The 20967-nt window shown below is 36.8% G+C and overlaps 2 annotated features.

The window, feature by feature from the left end:
• Positions 979-1521: an enhancer, noted in NCBI's record as "H3K4me1 hESC enhancer chr18:63287142-63287684 (GRCh37/hg19 assembly coordinates)". NCBI's record gives its function as "activates a minimal SCP1, AML or CMV promoter by ChIP-STARR-seq in naive H9 embryonic stem cells {active_cell/tissue: H9 hESC(naive)}" and the evidence as "EXISTENCE:reporter gene assay evidence [ECO:0000049][PMID:30033119]".
• Positions 1522-2064: an enhancer, noted in NCBI's record as "H3K4me1 hESC enhancer chr18:63287685-63288227 (GRCh37/hg19 assembly coordinates)". NCBI's record gives its function as "activates a minimal SCP1, AML or CMV promoter by ChIP-STARR-seq in naive H9 embryonic stem cells {active_cell/tissue: H9 hESC(naive)}" and the evidence as "EXISTENCE:reporter gene assay evidence [ECO:0000049][PMID:30033119]".

Consider the following 20967-nt stretch of genomic DNA (forward strand, 5'->3'; position numbering starts at 1 on the left):
TTTGTAATGGCTCATAATGGTCTTTCCTTTTTATTTAGCACTCCCTTCAGGACCTCTTGTAAGGCAAGTCTGATGGCAACATATTCCCCTAGCATTTGCTTGTCTGAAAAGGTCTTTGCTTATGAACATTTGACTGGATGTTAAATTATTGGTTAAATTATTGGTTGGAGATTCTGATCTTTAAGAATGCTGAATATAGGCCCCCAATCTTTTCTGGCTGAAAGGCCCACTGTTAACTCAATGGGGTTCCCTTTGAAGGTGATCTGCCCCTTCTTTCGAGATGCTATTAACATGTTTTGTTTCACTTGAACCTTGGAGAATCTGATGACTATGTGTCTTAGGGATGTTTTTCTTGTGTAGAATTTCACTGGGGTTATCTGCATTTCCTGATTTTGAAGTTGACCTCTGCAGTGAGGTTTAGGAAATTTTCATGGAAGATATCCTCAAATATATTTTCCAAGTTGCTTGCTTTCTCTCCTTTTTTAGGGATGTGAATGATACATAGATTTTGTCTTTTAAAATAATCCCATATTTCTCAAAGGTTTTGCTCATTCTCTCTCTCTTTTTTTTTAATTGTTGTCTGACTTATTTCAGAGTACTGGTCTTCAAGCTCTGATATTCTTTCCTCAGCTTGATGGATTCTGCTTGTTAATACTTGTGACTGTATTCAGAAATTCTTGAAGTGAGTTTTTCAGCTCTATTACATCAGTTTGTTTTTTTTATTTAAAGAGCCGTGTCAACTTTCATCTCCTGTATCATTTTATTTTATTCCTTCACATCCTTAGATTTCTCCTGAATGCTGATGATCTTTGTTCTCTTATACATATGCTCAATTCTGTTGCTGTCATTTCAGACATTTCAGCCTGGTTAAGAACCATTGCTGGAGAACTAGTGTGATCATTTGGAGTTAAGCAGACACTCTGGCTTTTTGTGTTGCCAGAGTTCTTACATTAGTTCTTTTTCATCTTTGCAGGCTGATGTTCCTTCCATCTTTGAAGTTACTGTCCTTTTCATTTTTTTTATTTTGCTTTTTGCTTTTATCTTCTTTGACGTCTTCAGGAGTTTGATTGTAGTGTAAGGCAGATTTAGTTGACTGGCTTTGTTTCTGGAAAATTTTAAAGGGGCAAGTCCTGGGCTGCATATTCTTACTCTGGGGGCTTAGTACTGGCCCCTAAATTTGTTCTCTGGCTCCTCAAGGTTAGAAATCTGCTGGCTGGAGGGGCTGAGATGTTCCTTGACTGCTGGCCAGAACATTCCGCCGGGGGGTGGCAACCGAAGTGTTTCTTTGGGCAATGGCAGCAGAATTCATGATTGTTTTCATGTGCCAGCAGCAGTGGCAGCGCAGTGAGTTGCATGATTGTTGGCTGGGGCTGAGTGCTGGCAGGCACTGGAGTGTTTGGCTTCCAGTAGAAATTCACAGCAGTAGTAGTGGTGGCATGGGAAGGAGGGCAGTGGTGGCATGGGGAGGACGGCAGGGCTGCCATGTCCATTTGCACAGTCTCACCAGCAGTGATGTCAGTGTGGGGGCGGGAAGTACCAGCGACTTCTGGGTGCATGTTCATGTTGGTGGTGGCCGTGGCATGGGCCAGGGGTCAAGGACACTGGCATCTTTGCATGCATTTGCACTGGCAGCTGTGTCAGCACAGGGGCGGGGCACTGGTGGGTGTGTGGCTGGCAGACTCCATTTGTGGCACAGAACCACAGGTCTCTGTTCAGTGTATTAAATATATTAAATATTAAATATATGAATATTAAGTCCACTCTTTTCTCACCTGTAAGTTTTCTGATGAGGAATCCAATGTATTTCTCAATATATTTCTCACATTTCTTACAAGGTAAAATTACTTTCCTCCTCTGGATTCACCTAAGATTTTTTTCATTGTGTTTGGTTTTCTGCAGTCTGTCTATGACATACTTAGGTATGCATAGTTTGTTTTTTATTATGTTTGGTGTGTTTTTCTTGTGACCTCAGTGCTCTGATGGGCTCAAAAAGAGTTGTTTTTTTCTGCTTTTTTCTCGTTGTAAGCATAAGAATGACAACTCACAAGCTATGTACATGTCATAGTTTAAAACTTTTTCAAAAATGTCCCTGAGAATGGTAGTACTATGTTCAGATTTCACATATCCCAGAAAGAGAGAATTCACTGTGCTCATTCATAGGAATGAGCAGTTCATCATGAGACAAGTTTTACAACATAGACTTAAGTTGTAACTAAGTCCTTGCAACTTATGTATATTCTTACATAATTAAGAAACACTACATTAAATAATGTTTCATTACAGTATACTAAAGTATTTAAACAAACTTTTATGGTTGTAGTCAGAAGATTTTTTCATAAAAAATAAAAATATTATACTGATATAACAATTTTGTAGATACAGTAGAAATTCTATAAAAATGTTTTAAAACCAGAAATATATATCTAAACACTGAGAAAATAATAATATTTAGTTATGTACTACTTATGTGTCCTTCCATGTGATAGAGTTTATGGCTTGGTGAATATACATACAGTTATAATTTATTTCATGCTCAAAGAAATTTAGTATCATAAAACTAATTGATTAATATTCTACCATGTATCAGACACTGCACTAGACACAGGCGACTCAAAGTAGTGCGCCAAACACACCCCTTGTGCTAAAAGTGTTTGTAAGTCAGCAGATACATAAATAAGAAAATAAATATATAATTAAAAACAAAAACAAAAATTCCTCTGCAGTCCCTCTGCCTCCATATAGGCCACATTTGATAAATATTTGCCAGAGAGATATTTGATAATACTGATATCACTGATTCAAATCATCTGAATATTAAACAAGTTTTTCCACCTCTTTATTATTTAGAAAGGTCATCTTACTGGCTAAATGTACCCTAATAGGCATTTAAATTTACCAAGAAACTTTCAAGCTACATGTATCCACGTGGTGGACTGTCATGAACCATGACATGGAGCACTGCAAATGCACCAGGGCATTGAGAATGTATTATGCTTTGTTCAAGCCCTAGACTTACACACATTGTGAACACATAGTTTGAAATGCAATTTAGTAAACATTCACTGGAAAACAACAATTTTACTCTGAAATGTTTGTCTATTGTTTTATTTAAACATTTAGGTTTTTACTATGAAATATTAGAAACATGTTTAGGTGGGCAAATAGGATCTTCTATTGCATCACTGATGTAACTAAATTATTCCCTGCCTGCCTCTTAAAGTACACACTCACATAGACGTAGATAGACACATTTTTACCCTATGTGTGTTTGCATACTCTGTTCTGTTTCGTATACTGTAATGTAAACCTTTACTTGGATACTTATTTTGTAAAATGGTGCATTGCAAAAACTGGAAAGTGAAGATAGAATAAGAAATCACATCAATGTTCTTTCCAAAATTGTATTGACAAAATCTTAACAAAATATTGAAAATAAAGTTTCTCTGAATGGTAGTTTTATCTAGGTAAGATAATCAGATTTTACTTAATTAAAAAATATCTGAGTGTTAATTTGGTGTTTCTGTTTCTTCACTGAATGAAACGAAGCTTTAATTTTCAGTTTGTTCACCAACATGTTCAGTGCTAGACGAAATTTCAAACCAAAGAATTTTTCAAGTGTTAAAACCGTTTTACCATTTGTAACTCTAATCTGATTTGGAAGTGTGCAGTTTAAAATGTTAACACTGTGAAGCACATACTGTGTTTGCTATTTAGAGCAAGACTGCAAGCTGAAAATGACCCAAACCAACAATATGTGTTGTTGTTGTTGTTTGGCATACTCAAGGGAGTTTGTGCTTTTTATTCCAGCAAATGGCAGTTTATTTTATTTCATAACCATTTGAGAGGTGAAATAAATCTTGCCACGTTTCTCTCTACCACATATCTGCTATATGAAAAAAACTGGTTATATACTTTACTTATTTTCTTCTCTGGAATAGGAGGAATGTCTTTCTTCAGTGCCAAAATTAATAACACCACCTCATTTACTCACATTAAAAAGGAGATGTTCTTAATGCTTAAGAGAAAGAAAGCAGTATTAAAATATATTTCAGTGCTTTCGCAATTTTTTAGTAACGTTTCCAGATATTTTATCAGAATTTTCTTCTTTAGGAGAACCAGGAAAGACTGAAAGGAACAGAAAATCTGTGAATGCTGGTGTTGTATGTGTGGGTCACCACCTTCCCTAACAGAGAACTCGAGATTTCTCTTAGGCTTCAGTTTTTATCATTTTGATGAGTTATGGAATTTGGTAGCTTATTATTAGCTATAAGCCACTTCAAAGTGGAAAAGAATCTGCCATTGACAGGAACAACACCTCAGACAGCTTGTGAAAGAGGAAGAGATGTCTTCGGCAATGTAAAATGGGTGCTTAAGAGCAAAGGGCTCTGTGATGGCTGAACTTTATTGAGAAGATTGGAGAAAATAAAGATGATCCCATGTATTTTTGTAGTGTACAGAGATAGTTTGTTCTAACATTGGCATTAAAAAGATTAATATATTGACTCAATTTTACATGTATTTTTTCTTATTAGGGCAGAGATGTTAGGAGGTATATGGGTAATTGTGTTATAGATTAATATTCTGACATCAAATGGTAATATATTTATGATTTTTCAATTATATGGGGCCCAAAGTATTTACTGATGTAAAAGCAACAGATCTTTCTTCTAAATGACTTTTCAATTATTTTATTTTCTGCCTTAATAGAACTGAAGGAGTTAATAATAAGTCAAAACTTACACTAAGGCATGACTTGAAATATGGATTTACGCTTGTCTGAATGGTCCTATATAGACTAGTAGGATGTGAGTTTTAAGGCTGGAGATTTTCTGTCTAAGGAATGTGTTTAGACAAGGGAAGCCACCATCAATCAAGCTTCCTGTGGATCACGACAGCTTGGTGGATGCCCGGACTCAGCAAGAATGCCTGGAAGTCCGACTGCCCCACCACACGCTGCCATTTGTGTTATTTCAGAGGGACACTGTGTGTGATGCTCTTGGTACTGTAAAGCCTAACAGAAATTTATCACAGGGCTTGGCAGCTCGGCCACACTTTTTGTCAAATGTTAGCTCTACCAGTAAGCACTGAAGTGTTAAGGTGGGATTGAATTGCTTGACACAGAGTGAAACACATCCAAGTGAAACTCTAGAAATGAGAAAAGAATACATTCTTCTGTTCTTTTGCTTAGGTTCCCAACACAGTTGTGTGGGAAGCATGTATTCTTTCTGGTCTATCGTCTTCTAATATCTGAAGACCCAGTAACTTCCATACGCACAAATTAGACAACGTGGGGGAATATAAAGATACTGTCAGATGCAGAGTGACAGAGACTAAATAATTCAGAAGCTAGCTCCTTTTCTTTAGTCTGCTTATAAAGTGCTTTTGGCATGTGATTGATAGATATTGTCTTAAATCTGGGGGAAAAGTTCCAGTAAAAAAGTTCCATGTAAATTCTCATCTTTTTCTTCATACTCAAAACATACACACAAAGAGAAGCAAATTAAGTCTCAAGGTTGTATTTGTTCAGCTTGCTAAAAGACAGAATTCGTTTCCTATAAGGTGCATATACTTTAAACCCAATTCAAACACATTCATTATTTGGAGGCCTAGAAGGAGCCAAAACGCTTTTTCATCTATAAACTGCTGTAAGGCCTCTGTAGAAATACGTAGGCGTTCGAGTTGAGTTTAGTTTTGTATTTAAAATTTTAAGTAATTTGTATTTTACCCATGAACATTTCATTTTGTTTAATTGGGATCTGATTGCAGTTGCCAAGATTAGAAATATTGCATCATTTGTGCTCAACGGCATATTGCATGAGCTTTCAAGTAGTTTCTATACATGTATTAAACCTTCACCTTAAACATTTTAAGGCGTTCTCTGTCACATAAAGTCACATACTGGATATATTCAGTAAATAATAGTAATTAATTATTTAATTTCTATTTTAGAATGAAAGTATTATTCTTATTTGTATATTCTGCTTTATTAGACACCATTGTTATAATGAGTAGGAAAATGTTGGCAGATACAGACTCTAAATGCTATTTTTCTATTATCTGAAGTCCCTAAGTCTGAGAACAAAGATGATATCCTGCAGATAATTCACATTAATTATTTTTACAAGTTTCATATTGTTATCTTGCATATTATATTACACGAAATAGTAGTTATAAAAACTACTACGTGTTCACTCCAAATAGTGGCTGAACCAGCACTGTTGGCAAGCTGTGATGTACAAACAATGGGTCTTGCTGGGTATTAGTACAAATGCACAGATTAAGTTACTAACCATTCTCTACCTTTGTCTTTTACCTACATGTGTTATAGTCTTTCCAGTCATTTTTCTTTCTGCTATATATTTTTTTACCCCAAATAACCCTTATTTATGTGCTTGTCATTGTCCTTTTGCTCGCCTCTGTCCTTATGTAGAAGTTGCCTCCTAATATTTGATGGCCATTAAGTACTAAATTAATGACCAATAATTAATTTTATAATGTGTGTAATATTTCCTGTAAGACTTTAATTTGAATAAAAACTTAAGTAAATTCATAAATGTGTATGTAAGGGTTCTAGCTCATGCACATCATAGCTCAGTGCATTGCCGGTTTGTGGCTGAAGCCTGTATTACCAGGGTCTTTAGTACCAGACTCTGGTACCTCCATCCCTGCTCCACATCCATACCTCACCTTCCACCCTGTGTCCCGTGTTTCTGCTGATGCTCTATACTGCCACTGTCCTTACTCAGTGAACTTACACCAGGAGCAAGACATGTTGGATGAATTCTTCTGCTCTCTCATCTTGCTCACAAGCCATGGTTCAGAGATGCAGTAATTTTTTTTCAGGCTCTCTGAAGACATCCATTTAGGTTGGAAATTTTAATGTTTCATGAAACTTGGTCATACATTTTCATGTATTCTCTTTCTTCCTTGATTGCCTCAGATGACTTCCCCTAGGATCCCACTCCCTAATAAAGTGTTGGCTCATAAATTTTCACATCCAGTCTTCTTTTCTAAGGTAGTCAAATTAAGAAGTTGAGTAGCTAGAGCTACTCTGGAAAGCATATGATCAGATGGGCTTTTGGAGTTTGCCAAGAAATCTGAAGTCAGTATGAACTTCGTTTCTAGCATCATCATTATTAAAACTTCACCTACGATTAACTGTGATAAGGTACAAGTGAGTGGTAATCTGCAGAGGAGCAAGGATATTGCTTTTAGGCCAATAACCAGAGTCTAGGTATGGCTAGGCACTTGTGGTGAAGCTGAATTCTTGCTTTGGAATTAGTGTACATATATATATATATATATATATATATATATATATATATATATGTTGTGTATATATTGATATTATACATTAGTATAATATATATGTTTAGTATATGTATAATTAGTCTTTGTGTATATATATGTGTGTATATATATATATACACATACATATACTGTGTGTCAGTAAGAGTCAGAAAGCTTATAGGGATGTTAATAAATTTACTATATGTATTAATAGATTTACTACATGTACATTTATTATATGCATTAATAAATTTACTATAAGACCTGAGATCTCACCCTTGTTTCTCAGGAGGTCCTAGAATCCATCCTTTCACTAAGGCAGTGTAAAATTTCCTAATGAGGATGTTATCAAAATGTTTGAGAAGCTCAATGGTTGGTGTCCTTGGAAAAGAGCATTGAGAGTTAGAGACCCTGTTGTAGACCTGCCCCATATCAATGTGAATAATAAGAATCTGGAATGTTAGAGGCCAGTGGCAATACTTATTGTCAGAAGCAAAGAATGCAAATAACTTAATGGGTATAGTAAAGTGACAATAAAGATGTCTGAATCTCCTACCACAATTAAAGTGGCTGTACTGAGCACAAGGGATATGACAGTCAAGCAGAGGTTTCCACAATTTGTATAAGAAATGAAAATAAGTGAGACTTTGCAAGCTTTCATCCACTACAATGCAAAATATATATCCTTATCTCAATTTCCAGATCTCAAATTAGTTCACGTGACCATAACATACTGACTGACAGGAAGACAAGGTCATCTCGAGGAAAGATCCTTCAATACCATAAATATATGGTCAAAAATACTTTGATCATGCCTCAAAGGACCTGCAGCCACTTCTTCAGGGAGCTGTGCACTGAGGAAATGGGGAAATACGACATTTTGAAGAACTTTTTGTATAATGTATGAGCTGAAACCAGAGTCCTAAGATGCCATCAGGGTTCTCAAGTTAAAGGGGGATAATGGAGGTCAAGGAATGAATGAGGAGGTGACCCAAGTCCATCTCACTGTAGACACAGTGCATCCATGGACTCAAGCTATACTTATAAGTACTAATATGCTTCCTGATTAGTTTATTTGGGTTGAATATATTTACCAGCTGGCAGAACTTTCATGTTGTTTCTCTGACCTGTAAAGTAAGAGCCGTTATTGTAGAAGGGTAAAAGTGAAAGCCAAGGCAACAGCCCACCCCACATTCCCATCTAGGAGTTTATATTGGGAGCAATATCTCATCTGAGGAGGAAGTTCATGTATTAATGCCACCATCAAATATTTGAAAAATTTAATGATAATAGTCTCCAGTATTTCCTCTTTCAATCTTTCAGTTCACCAGTCTAATCTCAGTTAAGAACAAACACCAAAAGATGGATCATTGTAATTCATAGTGGACCACTCTTAATTAGCCTCATTTGCAGCTTCTGCCTGCTATTAGCACAACTTCTGAAATTGGTATAAGGCTTTGGATTTGTTAAGGACATTTCTCTCAATCCTCTTAGCACGAAGGGCTCAAATCAGGTCATTTTTACCTGTTAAGGACAACATTCCCCCCTGCCTTTTTTTGCCACAGGGATAAATTAACTCTCTTGTCCTTTATTGTCAGATAGTCTGTAAGGATCATGACCATTTTGACCTTCCTGATAGCATCACCGTATTTTACTATATCAAGGAAAATTGGCCTAATTAGACAAGGTGAACAGGAGGTGGCCAGAACTTTAGGTTCTCTAATAAGATACACACGTGGCGAACTTGATAGATAAACAACAAAAGGACTCAGGAGCCTACAACACTAGTACATCTTAAGGAATCCAGTGATTTGGAATACTCCCGAGCATCTCCTCTAAGCTAGAGGACAAATGTTTCTCTGTGCATCCCCTACCTGAGAAAGAAGTACAGCACCGGGTGGGCCATTTTTATTTCAGAAGTAAAACGAAAATACTGCTTCAATGTATCTTAATATAGACCACACTCAAAATGACTGTGAACTGATATGTTCACAGTCATTTTGAGTGTGGTCTAGATTAAGAGGGGACTTTACAGCAGGCCTGGGCTGTAGTGTGAGCTTCCCTACCTCTTTGGCCATATAACGAAACAGATCAAAATAATGCTAGAAATATACAAATTGGTAAAAATGCTGTGCAGATTCTTTAACAAGCTCCCTAAGAAAGCTGCAGTACAGACATTTATGGCCATATCATTCTGTGTCAGAGAACTAGTCCCCTTTTCTCTCTCTCTCTCTATTTCTCTCTCTCTATCTCTCTCTCACACACACACACACACACACACACACACATACACACACTGTTAGTGTGCTACTTGGCTCAAATAGAGGCCGAGTGATAGTTACTGCAAGTAATTGTTTGTTATGAGTTGTGCATTACAGATCCATCAAGGACAATGACAAGCAAGCACACCAGCATTTTACTGTCAAATGTAAATAGTTATTTGAAATGGGCCTAGGAAAAATGAGAAAGAAGAGGTAAATCACATGAGCAGGTAGCTCAGGTACCTATCCCTTCTGTCATCACTTCTATTGCACTGATGTTCCTCCTTCAACTCACACCTCTGGCCAACTGACAGAATACGAGATAACTCAGGCCAGCTTCACAAAGTGGTTGATGTGATATGTTGATGGTGGTTAAAATTGGACCCCCATCAATTGCAGCCCTCACTGTAGTGGCTGACCATTCTGAATGGGAATTCTGGTGAGAAGAGCTGCAAGTAGTACATGAGGTTGTCCATTTCATACCAAGGAAAAGTTAGTCAACTTATGGATGCACATTAATTACTGAGCAGTAGTGAATAGCTTGGCTGCTTGGTCAAGGGGCTGGGAGAAACATCTGGAAGATTAAAAAACTCTTGGAAAATGCCCTCTGGATGTACTTGTGGGAATGGGCATTAAGTGAATAGAGCTTACATTAATGCCAGCCAGAGGGCATCCACCTAAGAGGAGGCTCTCAACTAGCAGATGGATGGATGACCTGACCTTGGATGTCAGCTGTCACCAGGCCGAAGCCAATTCAGCTCAGCTAAGGTGCCACCTCTTGGAAAATGTCTTCTGGATTGAGGATGCTATTACTATGAACTGAATTTTGTGCCCCCAAAATTCATATTTTGAAACCTCAAATCCTTAATGTGACTATATTTGGAAAAGGGCCTTTAAAAAAGCAATTAAGGTTAAATGAGGTCATAATGGTAGGGTTTTAATCTGATAGGGTTAGAATCTTTGTAAAAAAATACACAAGAGAGCTCATCCTCTTGCTGTGAGGACACACCAAGAAGGTGGCCATCTGCAAGCCAAGAAGGGAACAGACAACTTGACAGCCAATTCTGTTCCTCACTAGGAAAAGAAATGTGATGTCAGACTAGGTTATGGCCTCACCTATTTCAATAAGCTTGAATAACATCTTTGGCTCACTAGGAACAGAATTGACAGCCAGTTCTGTTCCTCACTAGGAAGAAAATTGGCTATCAGGTTTATATGACTTTAGACTTCCCAGCTTCTAGAACTATAAGAAATAAGTTTCTGCTCCATAAGCACCCAGGCTATAGTATTTAGCTATGGTAGCCTGATAATATGAATATACTATTCTCCATGAGGTTTGTAGGGGCCAAGGCTGTTGGCCTCCTGGAGGTTCACTGAAGTTCACTGACATGAGACAGATTGACTAATAAGAGAAAAGGCATATTAATTTGTTTGAAGCATATACAGGAAAGCCTTCAGAATTGAGACCCAAAGATATAGGGGAAATTGCCCATTTTTATGCTTAGGTTCAACAAAGTATGAACAGCTATGTAGAAATATGATTGGATAAGAGCACATGTTCTAATGTTAATAGACTGAGTGGGGAAACCCTGTAAGGCCTGTCTGTTTAGATTCTTCTTGGTCTCTCTGAGCATGCATTCTTTCCTTCTCAGTGTGGCACAGGGACCTTCCTGGAATGAGGGTCTTATGTTCATCTGCAATCAAATAAGGTAGATCAGAGAGTTTATTTATAGCCAGTTTTTACTCAAAATATTTTTAGGTTCTGTGGCTGTTTTTCAGGAAAAGGAGTTCTGGTTTCTATGACCCACCTTGGGGAAGAGGGATTCCAGTTTCTATAGCCAGCTTCAGCGGAGAATGGGACTGAGAAACAGGAGGACAGGAGAAGGTCAGAGAAAAACTTTTGCTTCTCCGGCTGCTGCTGAGGCCTTTAATTTGGGGTACTGTTTTCTGAACCCCAACGGTTTATATGCAATGACCCAAATGGATGATATTAAGTATGGTGTTCCCGATACCTAGAATATGTAGGTCAGGAACAAAAGAGTGACAGCATATCTGGGTCCTATCACTACCCATCTGGGAACTCAATTATGAACTTTTGTTTCTCAGTCCACAATCTTAAACCGTACCAGTTAAAGGTTCTGGTTTACAGGTCGAGAAAGCGTCTATTAGATTAGGTTAACTGAAAGCTATGAGTGACATCTGATCATTTTAGTATTCTCTTGCTGGTGTACTGGGGGCCAACGGAAGGAGTAACAAATCTGGCAGGGATAATCGACTTTGACTACCACAAGTGCCTAGGGTTGCTGCCACACAGGAGCAGAGCAGTATGCCTGGAATCAAATGAATTCACTTGGATATATCTTTGTGTTTTTGTGCTCAGTGATAGCCATTAATAGTTCATTGCAGCAACCACAACCCAACACAGACAAGACAACTAAGGACTCCAAACTCTTGAAGTAATAGTAATAGTTAATAGTAAAATGTTAATATAGTCACCTTTTGACCTATGGGTAAGAAGCAGACAGATCTAACCTCTTTTCTAAAGTGCAAATATTTTTTAAAGAAAAAAGATGTAAAATATGCATTTTTTAAAAATGCAACTTTGAATAGAAAAATAAATTAACTGCTATTGAATGTCCAACATTTTATAGCATTAGCTTCACAAATGAAATGTTATGTATTATTTTTAAAAGTCTTGGTAAACATTATATAATATGATTCATATGTCCTCTAAACTGAATATCTATTTTCTTATCAAATTTGGGCTTTTATTCCTTCTATATCCTCATAAACAGAATAAAGACATATTTGGGCATTAGTAGCTTCTTGAATCAGTACATTTAAATTATCTTCAATATGTGAAGAGAAAGGTTGAGTTTTTTCTGTCAAACATCAAAAGAAAGATTTTTAAAATAGTTGTCATGTCTCCAATTATTTAAACAGCTTGAAATTTGTACAGTCAAGATTACCTCTTCCTATGAAACAAGGCACGTCATTTTGGATAGATCATATTATAGATATATTCCTCAAAAAAATACTTTCCCTCTAGCATAACAGCAAACATTGGCTAATGTATTTTGTTACAGTTATTCAGAATGCTTATAAAAATAATATTTAATTCTTTTTTAAATTATTCATCTAAATCTAATCTTCAATAAAGGTACACAGTGGCTCTCTTGACTGACCGTCTTCTTAACCTGTATTATTCCCACCAAAATTCCGTTAGGAAGCATAAAATATGAGAAATTACAGATTTTTTTGAGGTTTTAAACATTATTTATACTAGCTAAACTGGCTAAACTGCTGCTGTAAATCTACATTTGCCTGCATACTGTATAATGGATTCCCCCACATAAGCTTCCTGCCCTGGCACTCTTACTTGATAGAAATCCCAATCTCTACAATGTCAGTGAGTTGTTAATATTTTCTCAGAAAAGTCTTAAGTGAATGTGACAGTTGGTAGTAATTATTAACCTTGCATTGAACCAGTAATTAAATGATGCAGCTTGAATGGGGAGGGGGTATGCTGCAAACTTGCCTACCCTTGCTCAGTGATCCTTCTGATTCTTCCTGCCCTAATCCGACATTATTAAAGCTCATTATTTCTTGACAGAGCTAAAGATTTAAATCATTACATGGAATATGTTTTAGATTCTGTACACCCATTTTTAAGCAACATTTTTATACATACTTCAATTCTATTTTTTAAAAAAGAAGAGTAAAACACAACAACAACAGCAACAAAAAAACATTAAATTTAAATTTCAGCTACCTTTCTGAAGAGTGGTTTGGCTAATTCCCTAAATAGATTTGAAATGTACAGTAATACATGTTCTTTGCTTCTGAAGTAGTCCCTAAATTTTAGAGCCTTTCTATTTTCACCGTCAACATACTTTGTCTTAGCTAATTTAAAATACATACGTGATACAGAGATAAAAAGAGCTTAAGGGAAGATTCATTAACTGCCTTTTAAGTGCCAAGTATGTTTCTTACTGTTTGCTCATTGACCCATTTAATCCTCACATCAACCCTATTCTCCCTGTCACTTTGATGAAAAAATAACTGAGGCTCAAAGTGTTTATGTTGTTTGCTCACAATTACCAAGCTTTCCTTTTTACAATTTTGTCTCTCAGATAACTTTGAAAGAAGTTGCTTTCTGTACTGGATAGTGAGTGATAATGCTGGGATTTGCTGAATGAAGAGAAATTGGACACAAATTAAAATTTCACTCAGAATAGTTTCTGTCAGCTCTTTGAAGAGCAAAACCTGCCTAAAAGTATGGAACGTGAATCTTTCTAAATGGTCCCGAGTTATTAAGCAACTAAGAAATATTGCATTCCTGATTACATAATTCATTTCTTCTGAGAACCTACAAGAATAAAAATTACTATCACTCATGGATCCAATGAATATTTTTGGACAAATTCACTACTAGATTGTGTTTGTGTTTTTTCTTTGCTTCTCCACCCTATCATTTTTAGGTGGTACATGCAAGCTAAGTTTATCAATACTTCAAACAATCCTCTAACTGGGAAGTCAGATCAACACAAGGTAAGTTGTAAGACTGCAATTTATCTTGCAGCTAGTTAGGACAGACACTGACCTAGGAACAGGGAAATGTATTATGCTTCTCAGAAGTAAGGTTGCCAAATTTAGCAAAGAAAAATACAGAATGCACAATTAAAATCCAGATTAAAAAAGTAAATAATTTTTAGTATACATATGTCTCCTGCAATATTTGGGACATTCTTACACTAAAAAAATTATTCGTGCATTATCTGAAGTGCAAATTTAACTAAGCATCCTGCATTTTATCTGGCAACCCTACTCATGGGACCTAAGGTGGGATATTTTTTCTCTAAAAATAGGAAGCAATGAAATAAATGTAAAATCTAAAACAGGAAACAACAGATGCTGGCAAAGCTGTGGAGAAATAGGAGTGCTTTTACAATGTTGGTGGGAGTGTAAATTAGTTCAACCATTGTGGAAGACAGTGTGGTGATTCCTCAGGGACCTAGAACAAGAAATACCATTTGACTCAGGAATCCCATCACTAGGTATATACCCAAAGGATTATAAATCATTCTACTATAAAGACACATGCACATGTGTGTATATTGTAGTATCATTTATAATAGGAAAGACTTGGAACCAACCCAAATGTCCATCAATGATAGACTGGATAAAGAAAATGTGGCACATCTACACCATGGAATACTATGCATCCATAAAATAGAATGAGTTTATGTCCTTTGCAGAGACATGGATGAAGCTGGAAGCCATCATTCTCAGCAAACTAACCCAGGAACAGAAAACCAAATACCACATGTTCTCACTCATAAGTGGGAGTTGAACACTGAGAACACGTGGACACAGGGAGGGGAACATCACACAGTGGGGCCTGTTGCAGGGTGGGGGGAAAGGGGAGTGAGAGCATTAGGACAAATACCTAATGCATGAGGGGCTAAATAAAAAAAGTAATAACTAGATGACAGGTTGATAGGTGCAGCAAACGACCATGGCACATGTATATCTGTGTAAGAAACCTGCACGTTCTGCACAGTATCCCAGAACTTAAATAAAGTAAAATAAAATAAAATAAAAGTTACATAAGCAAAGAGGAAAAAGAAGGGCTTCTCAGGAAAAGATGAAAATATGAACGACACAGTGGCAGAAAGCTTGGAGAACAGCAGGGACTGAAAGAGTGCCAAAGGCAGGTGTGGAGAGAGTATGGGGAGGTATATTTTAAGGGCACAGAGGAGAATTGCGGCCTGAAGTGGAGGTTCATGATGGGCAGTGTGAAAGGAAGCCTCTAAGAGGCTGCCAACGGTTCCTGCCACCTGGTCATTCACGCCATTGAGTCTGGGCTCATGATCCAATTGTAAGATTATAAAAGTGATATCAAGTCATTTAGAAGATTAGGTTACAAAAACTGTGATTTCCATTTTATTCTGTCCCTGTCACTTTGTCACAAGCCAACTGCTATGTATCAAGGAACTGATATCTCTATTCAAAAGCCATTTAGAACTTGAAGACTGACAACAGCCACATGCTCGAAGTTGGAAGCAACTTCTCCCCTGTAAAGCCTTAAGAAGACCTAAGTGCTGGCCAAAACATTGATAGCAGTTACAGACCTTGAGCCACATTTCTGGCTCACAGAAACTGTAGGAAATGAATGAGTGTTGTTTTAAGCTTCTGGGTATTGAGGAAATTCATTACACTAAAATAACTAATACAGAGGATTTGAATTTTATACTAATAAGAGTGAGAAGCTATTTAAGAGTTTTAAAGAAGATCAGTAACCAAGTCATGATTTATGTTTAAACTTTAGCTGCAGTGCAAAAATGGATGGGGAAAGGGGAATTGCAAAAATAGATAGAGATGCACGTTAGGAGGCAATCATAGTAGCCAAGATGAAAAATGAACCTGACCGAGGGAAGTGGTGATGTTAAAGATAGAAAAAGTAGAAAAAAATCAAGACACATTTAGCAGATAAAATAATCAGGAGCTGATGATGGAAGAGTGATGAAGAAATCAAGGACTGGTGTCCTTTTGTCCAGCTCATAACAGTGTCCCTTACTGAGATAAAGAACCCCAGGAAAGAACCAGATTTATCCTTCCTGCTTACTTCTTGTTCTGACGTTTCTGGCAGTGACTTAAGCCACTTGAATGGGGCTGTGATATAGATATTCTTTCCTCTCATCCCCTGCGGAGCCCACCCAGCCAACACCTGGGTTCAGCTAGCACTGCATTCTCTACAACAGCTCTCTTTTCAGGGAGAATTGCTCTTGGCTGCCATGTCCACAACAGAATTCAGAATCACTTCAGAGATACATGTAACTAGCTGCAAGATAAATTGTAGTCTTACAACTTATCTTGTGTAGATCTTACTTCCTAGTTAGACGATTGTTAGAACTATTGATAAAATTAGCTTGCATATACCACCTAAAAATGAGAAGTAGGGTGGGGGAATAAGGAAGAGACACAAACACAATCCAGTAGCCAATTTGTATTTTGCCACTTATGATCTATAGATGTGTTTCTCGTGCCTTTTTTTTTTCATTATCACTCTTCTAAGTATTTTTTAAAGATTTTTTCCCCTAATTACCCTTTCCCCTAAAATGTGTTACCCACAGATATATTGTATATGAAATATCATTTGGGGACCCACACATTGTTGTAATGTCTAAGTTTTTTTTTTTTCTTGTTCCCATGAGAACCAATTTTTACTCCACTGAAGAAAAGATCACCCCCATTGAGAATGCATAATACCACATACAGAATGGTAATTCACATTCAATAAAAATAAAGGCAGGTGACTTTCAGCAAATTCACACTCTTTACTATAGAAAAATTTTCATTTTGCTGTACATGTATTTAACAAATCATATTGATGGTGGCAGGAATAAAGTTAAAAATCTGTCAATTGTGCTTTAAATTCTCAGATGTGTTTTCTATAGTACTGCTCCATGAAAGGGCCATATATGCAAAGTGACCCCCAAATGCTGAAGGAGCCACACCAAAGAAGGAGGCAGACAAACCTAGTTTGTCAGTATTGGGTGATTTATTAAGAGAACTTAACGATGGAAGTGTGGTCTTGGGCAGCCACAAGACAAGCAGATCTCTGCCCGGTGACTCCCTAGACTCAAGACTTACCTACCATAGAGAAGAGGCATACGTGCTCCAGCAAGACAACCAAAGGTATCCTCCAGAACAGACAAGAATGCTATGTGTGTCATAGCCTATAATTTGTGTGATAACATCAAGGTTGCTTTGTTTTTACACAAAGGACAAGAACTAATGTAGAAACCAGGGGGCATTCATGAGACTGGGGCTGATCAGAAGTCAGCATGGCAGATTAGCATCCAAGATGGAATCATTTTTGTCTCCACTGATACAAACCCATAGCTGTGACCCAGGAGATTGTCATAATATGATGAATGGTTCCATGGAGGTGTTTGCTATGTTTGCTAAGGAGAATGAGATTGTATTTTATACATTATGCCAATCAGACCTTTCCTTGCAGTAAGGGAAGGTCAATCTCACCTAAACTATAAGATTGGTATAAAGACCAAGAGATGAAATAGACTTTAGAAGGCAAGCAACAATGCCTGATTCAATAATGTACTTGTTATGAATATTTAGCAATGTATTCATTATTAATATTATTGTTACTGCAATGGCATATTTGCTATGTCTGTTCTCAACAATGCAACAATGCCCTCTTGATGCTGCCGGGAAATAGAAGGGTCTCCTTTGGGACATGTGGTCACAGGGAGTCTCTGAGTTTGTTGATAAAGGGATTCACCAGGAAAATCATCTTCCAACCTGGGCCACTTCTTAATGAAGACACCCCTTGCTGCCTGAGTCCTGAGTCCACACAGTGGATCAGCTGGTACCACAGGCAAGCTGGATGCTGAGCTGGAATCAGAAACAGAAATTAACAACAAAAAATTAAAACCTACCTAAAATAATGATTTAACACTGAAAACTCGACTCTTTAGTCAAAAAGCTCAACTTTAGAAGAAGCCCATATATATTTAAAGTAAACAGTATATCTAAGGAAACCATATACTGTCACCAGGTAAAGTCACCTGGACAAGTCAATATAAACCATAGATTGTCATCAGGTAATGCCCATTTTGTACACATTCATTCATTCGTTCAACAAATATTTATTGGCTGACTTCTGATTGCTAAGAACACTGTTGGGCACAAAGCCTACAAAAAATGGAAATAAACTGATTGGCCTCAATGAGCTCATAGACCAAGGGAAGCACAGACAAGCAGTCATGTGCAAAACTGTTCCACAAAAGATTATTCCTCGTGTCAAGGATAACGTCTGGGCCTGCCTGTCAGACAAGATGCAACAAAGGAAGTAGCAGAAAAGCTAAATCTTAAAGCAAAGTCATGCTAGAAAGAGTCCTGCATATGCCAAAATATCTTCCATGGAGGGTAAGATCCTCAAGTTTTATCCATTTTTTTTGAGTAATGCGTTTGAAAAAGTATCTCATAAATTTAAAATGTTAAGCTGTTATTGCTGTGATTTAAATCTATTGATCAGATTAGTTATTCAACCACATTATATTATAGATCCCAGGAGGGATAAGGAACGAGGTAAACTAGCTTTTAAATCTGGAAGGCAACTGGTCTTGGGAGATTACCCAGGATAGAAGACCAAGATAGTCACCCAAACTGGCAAACTAGTGCATTATAATTATAGGGAGAACTTAATGAGGATTTAGTGTATCAGAGAAACACTGCTTCTTTCATTACTTTATTTTAAACTTGCTCTGATTTTTTGTTCTTCGGGTGAAAAAGATTTCAGTGCTTTTGTTGATGATGTAGCTTTTGCTTAGATGTTTTCTCTTTCTTTGCTAATCTTCCCTCAGTTTTCTCTCACAAAACAGGATGATGAATACCTACCAATTTAAGCTTTAAGCCAAAATTGTCCTCATATGTAGAGAATCTTTTAACCCTCCTAGATATAGGTGCTCACAATTTGCTTCATTCTTCCACGATAGCATGTGAGGTCTTCTGCCACAGCAATTTTCATTCACGCATCTGTTCATTCATTCATTCCACAAAATATTTATTGAGTATTGTTTAGTACAATAAATGTTTTCATAAGAGGCCATTAGACTAAACGAATGAAAAAGACAAGCTTGATTTCTGTTGTCATGGAGCTTATACCTTCAAATGAGACTTAGAGGCTTTCTTGCGTTTCCCTAAAATGTTGCAAGTTCTTTACAAGAAAGATTCATGAATTATTCAATTTAGTATCTCAGAATCTAACATAGTTACTGACACTGGCTGTAAACAATAAATAAGCAAGGTTTTTAATGATATGCAATGAAAAACAGGGTTTTTTTTTTGTTTGTTTGCCTGTTTTAAAAGATAGAGACATTGTCATATTTAACACAATGTAAATTCTACTATGGAAGAAGGAACAAATGGATTAAAATTTTTGCCACAGACAAGTATTATCATTTCTATTTTAAATAACATGATTGATTGAGTGCTCAGAGATGTTAAGTAATTTTTCAAAGGTCACAGAAGTTTCACTGCTAAGATTCAAGCACAAGCTGACTCTAAAGTGTCTGCTTTTAACCAAATCTGCAGTCCAGGAGGTTTATTCTCCAGTATCTGCTTTATAATGTCTTGGCCATTGTGGCTGTTAATCAACATTACTTCCATATTACTTTTAAATAAACTTTTTATGGAGCTAAACACATGCATGCATACATGCAGGAAAGTGCACAAACAATAAATATTAATAAAATGAAAGCAAACGTGATAGATACACAGACCAAGAAATAGAATATTATCTGTGCCTCAGAACTGCAACTTTTACCCCTCCTCATAATTAAGCCCTACACAAAAAAATAATTATCTTGACTTCTAACACTAGATATTTGTCGTTTGTCTTTTTGTTATTTTTTTCTATAAAGACAGTTGTTCAATATATATGTGTGTCTATCTTCATCCATTCAACATTGTGTTTGTAAGATTGAAACTTGTGAGTACAGCAATTGTTCATTCATTCTCATGATTTTTTTTGTAATGTATTTCTCTGTTCAAATGTTGATGAATATTTGTTGGGAGTTTTTGTTTATTATGAATAACATTGCTATAAACATCTTTGTACGTATCATTTGTTAAACTATTCTGATGGGTATTTGCCTAACAATGGAATTTGTTGTATGAGTATATGACAAAGATTCTGAAAGTGCTATGGATGAGAGTAACAAGCATTGTTTGAGCATTCCAGTTGCTCCATGTCCTTAACACTGTTCAGTCTTCATTGTCAGTCTTTTTCCTTTCTTTATTGTAGTAGTCATCTTATTAGTAGTATCAAGTTGAGATATTGGTTTGGATTTTCCTAACTACTAATAAGGTCAAGCAGCTTTCACATAAATTTACTGACCATATGTATGCTCTCTTTTGTAAACAGACACTCAGGGTTTTGCCCATTTTAAAAACTTGATCATTCTGTCATTTTTATTGATTTGTGGAAAATTCTCTATTCTTAACACTGGTTCTTAATCAGACATAAAAATGGCAAATATTCCTCTCTACTCTATGACTTATTTGCATAATTGTAACGGTGTGGCTTTTAATGAACAGAAATTCTTTGTTTTAACACAGTCCAGTTGTTCTATGTTATCCTTTACATTAGACCAGTATGAAAGCAATCGGGCCAGGCGAGGTGGCTCACGCCTGTAATCCCAGCACTTTGGGAGGCCGAGGCTGGCGGATCATAAGGCCAGGAGGTCGACACTATCCTGGCTAACACGGTGAAACCCCGTCTCTACTAAAAATACAAAAAATTAGCCAGGCATGGTGGAGGGCACCTGTAGTCCCAGCCACTCAGGAGGCTGAGGCTGGAGAATGGTGTGAACCCGGGAGGCGGAGC

Source organism: Homo sapiens, chromosome 18, assembly GCF_000001405.40.
Source record: "Homo sapiens chromosome 18, GRCh38.p14 Primary Assembly".
Taxonomy (NCBI): domain Eukaryota; kingdom Metazoa; phylum Chordata; class Mammalia; order Primates; family Hominidae; genus Homo; species Homo sapiens.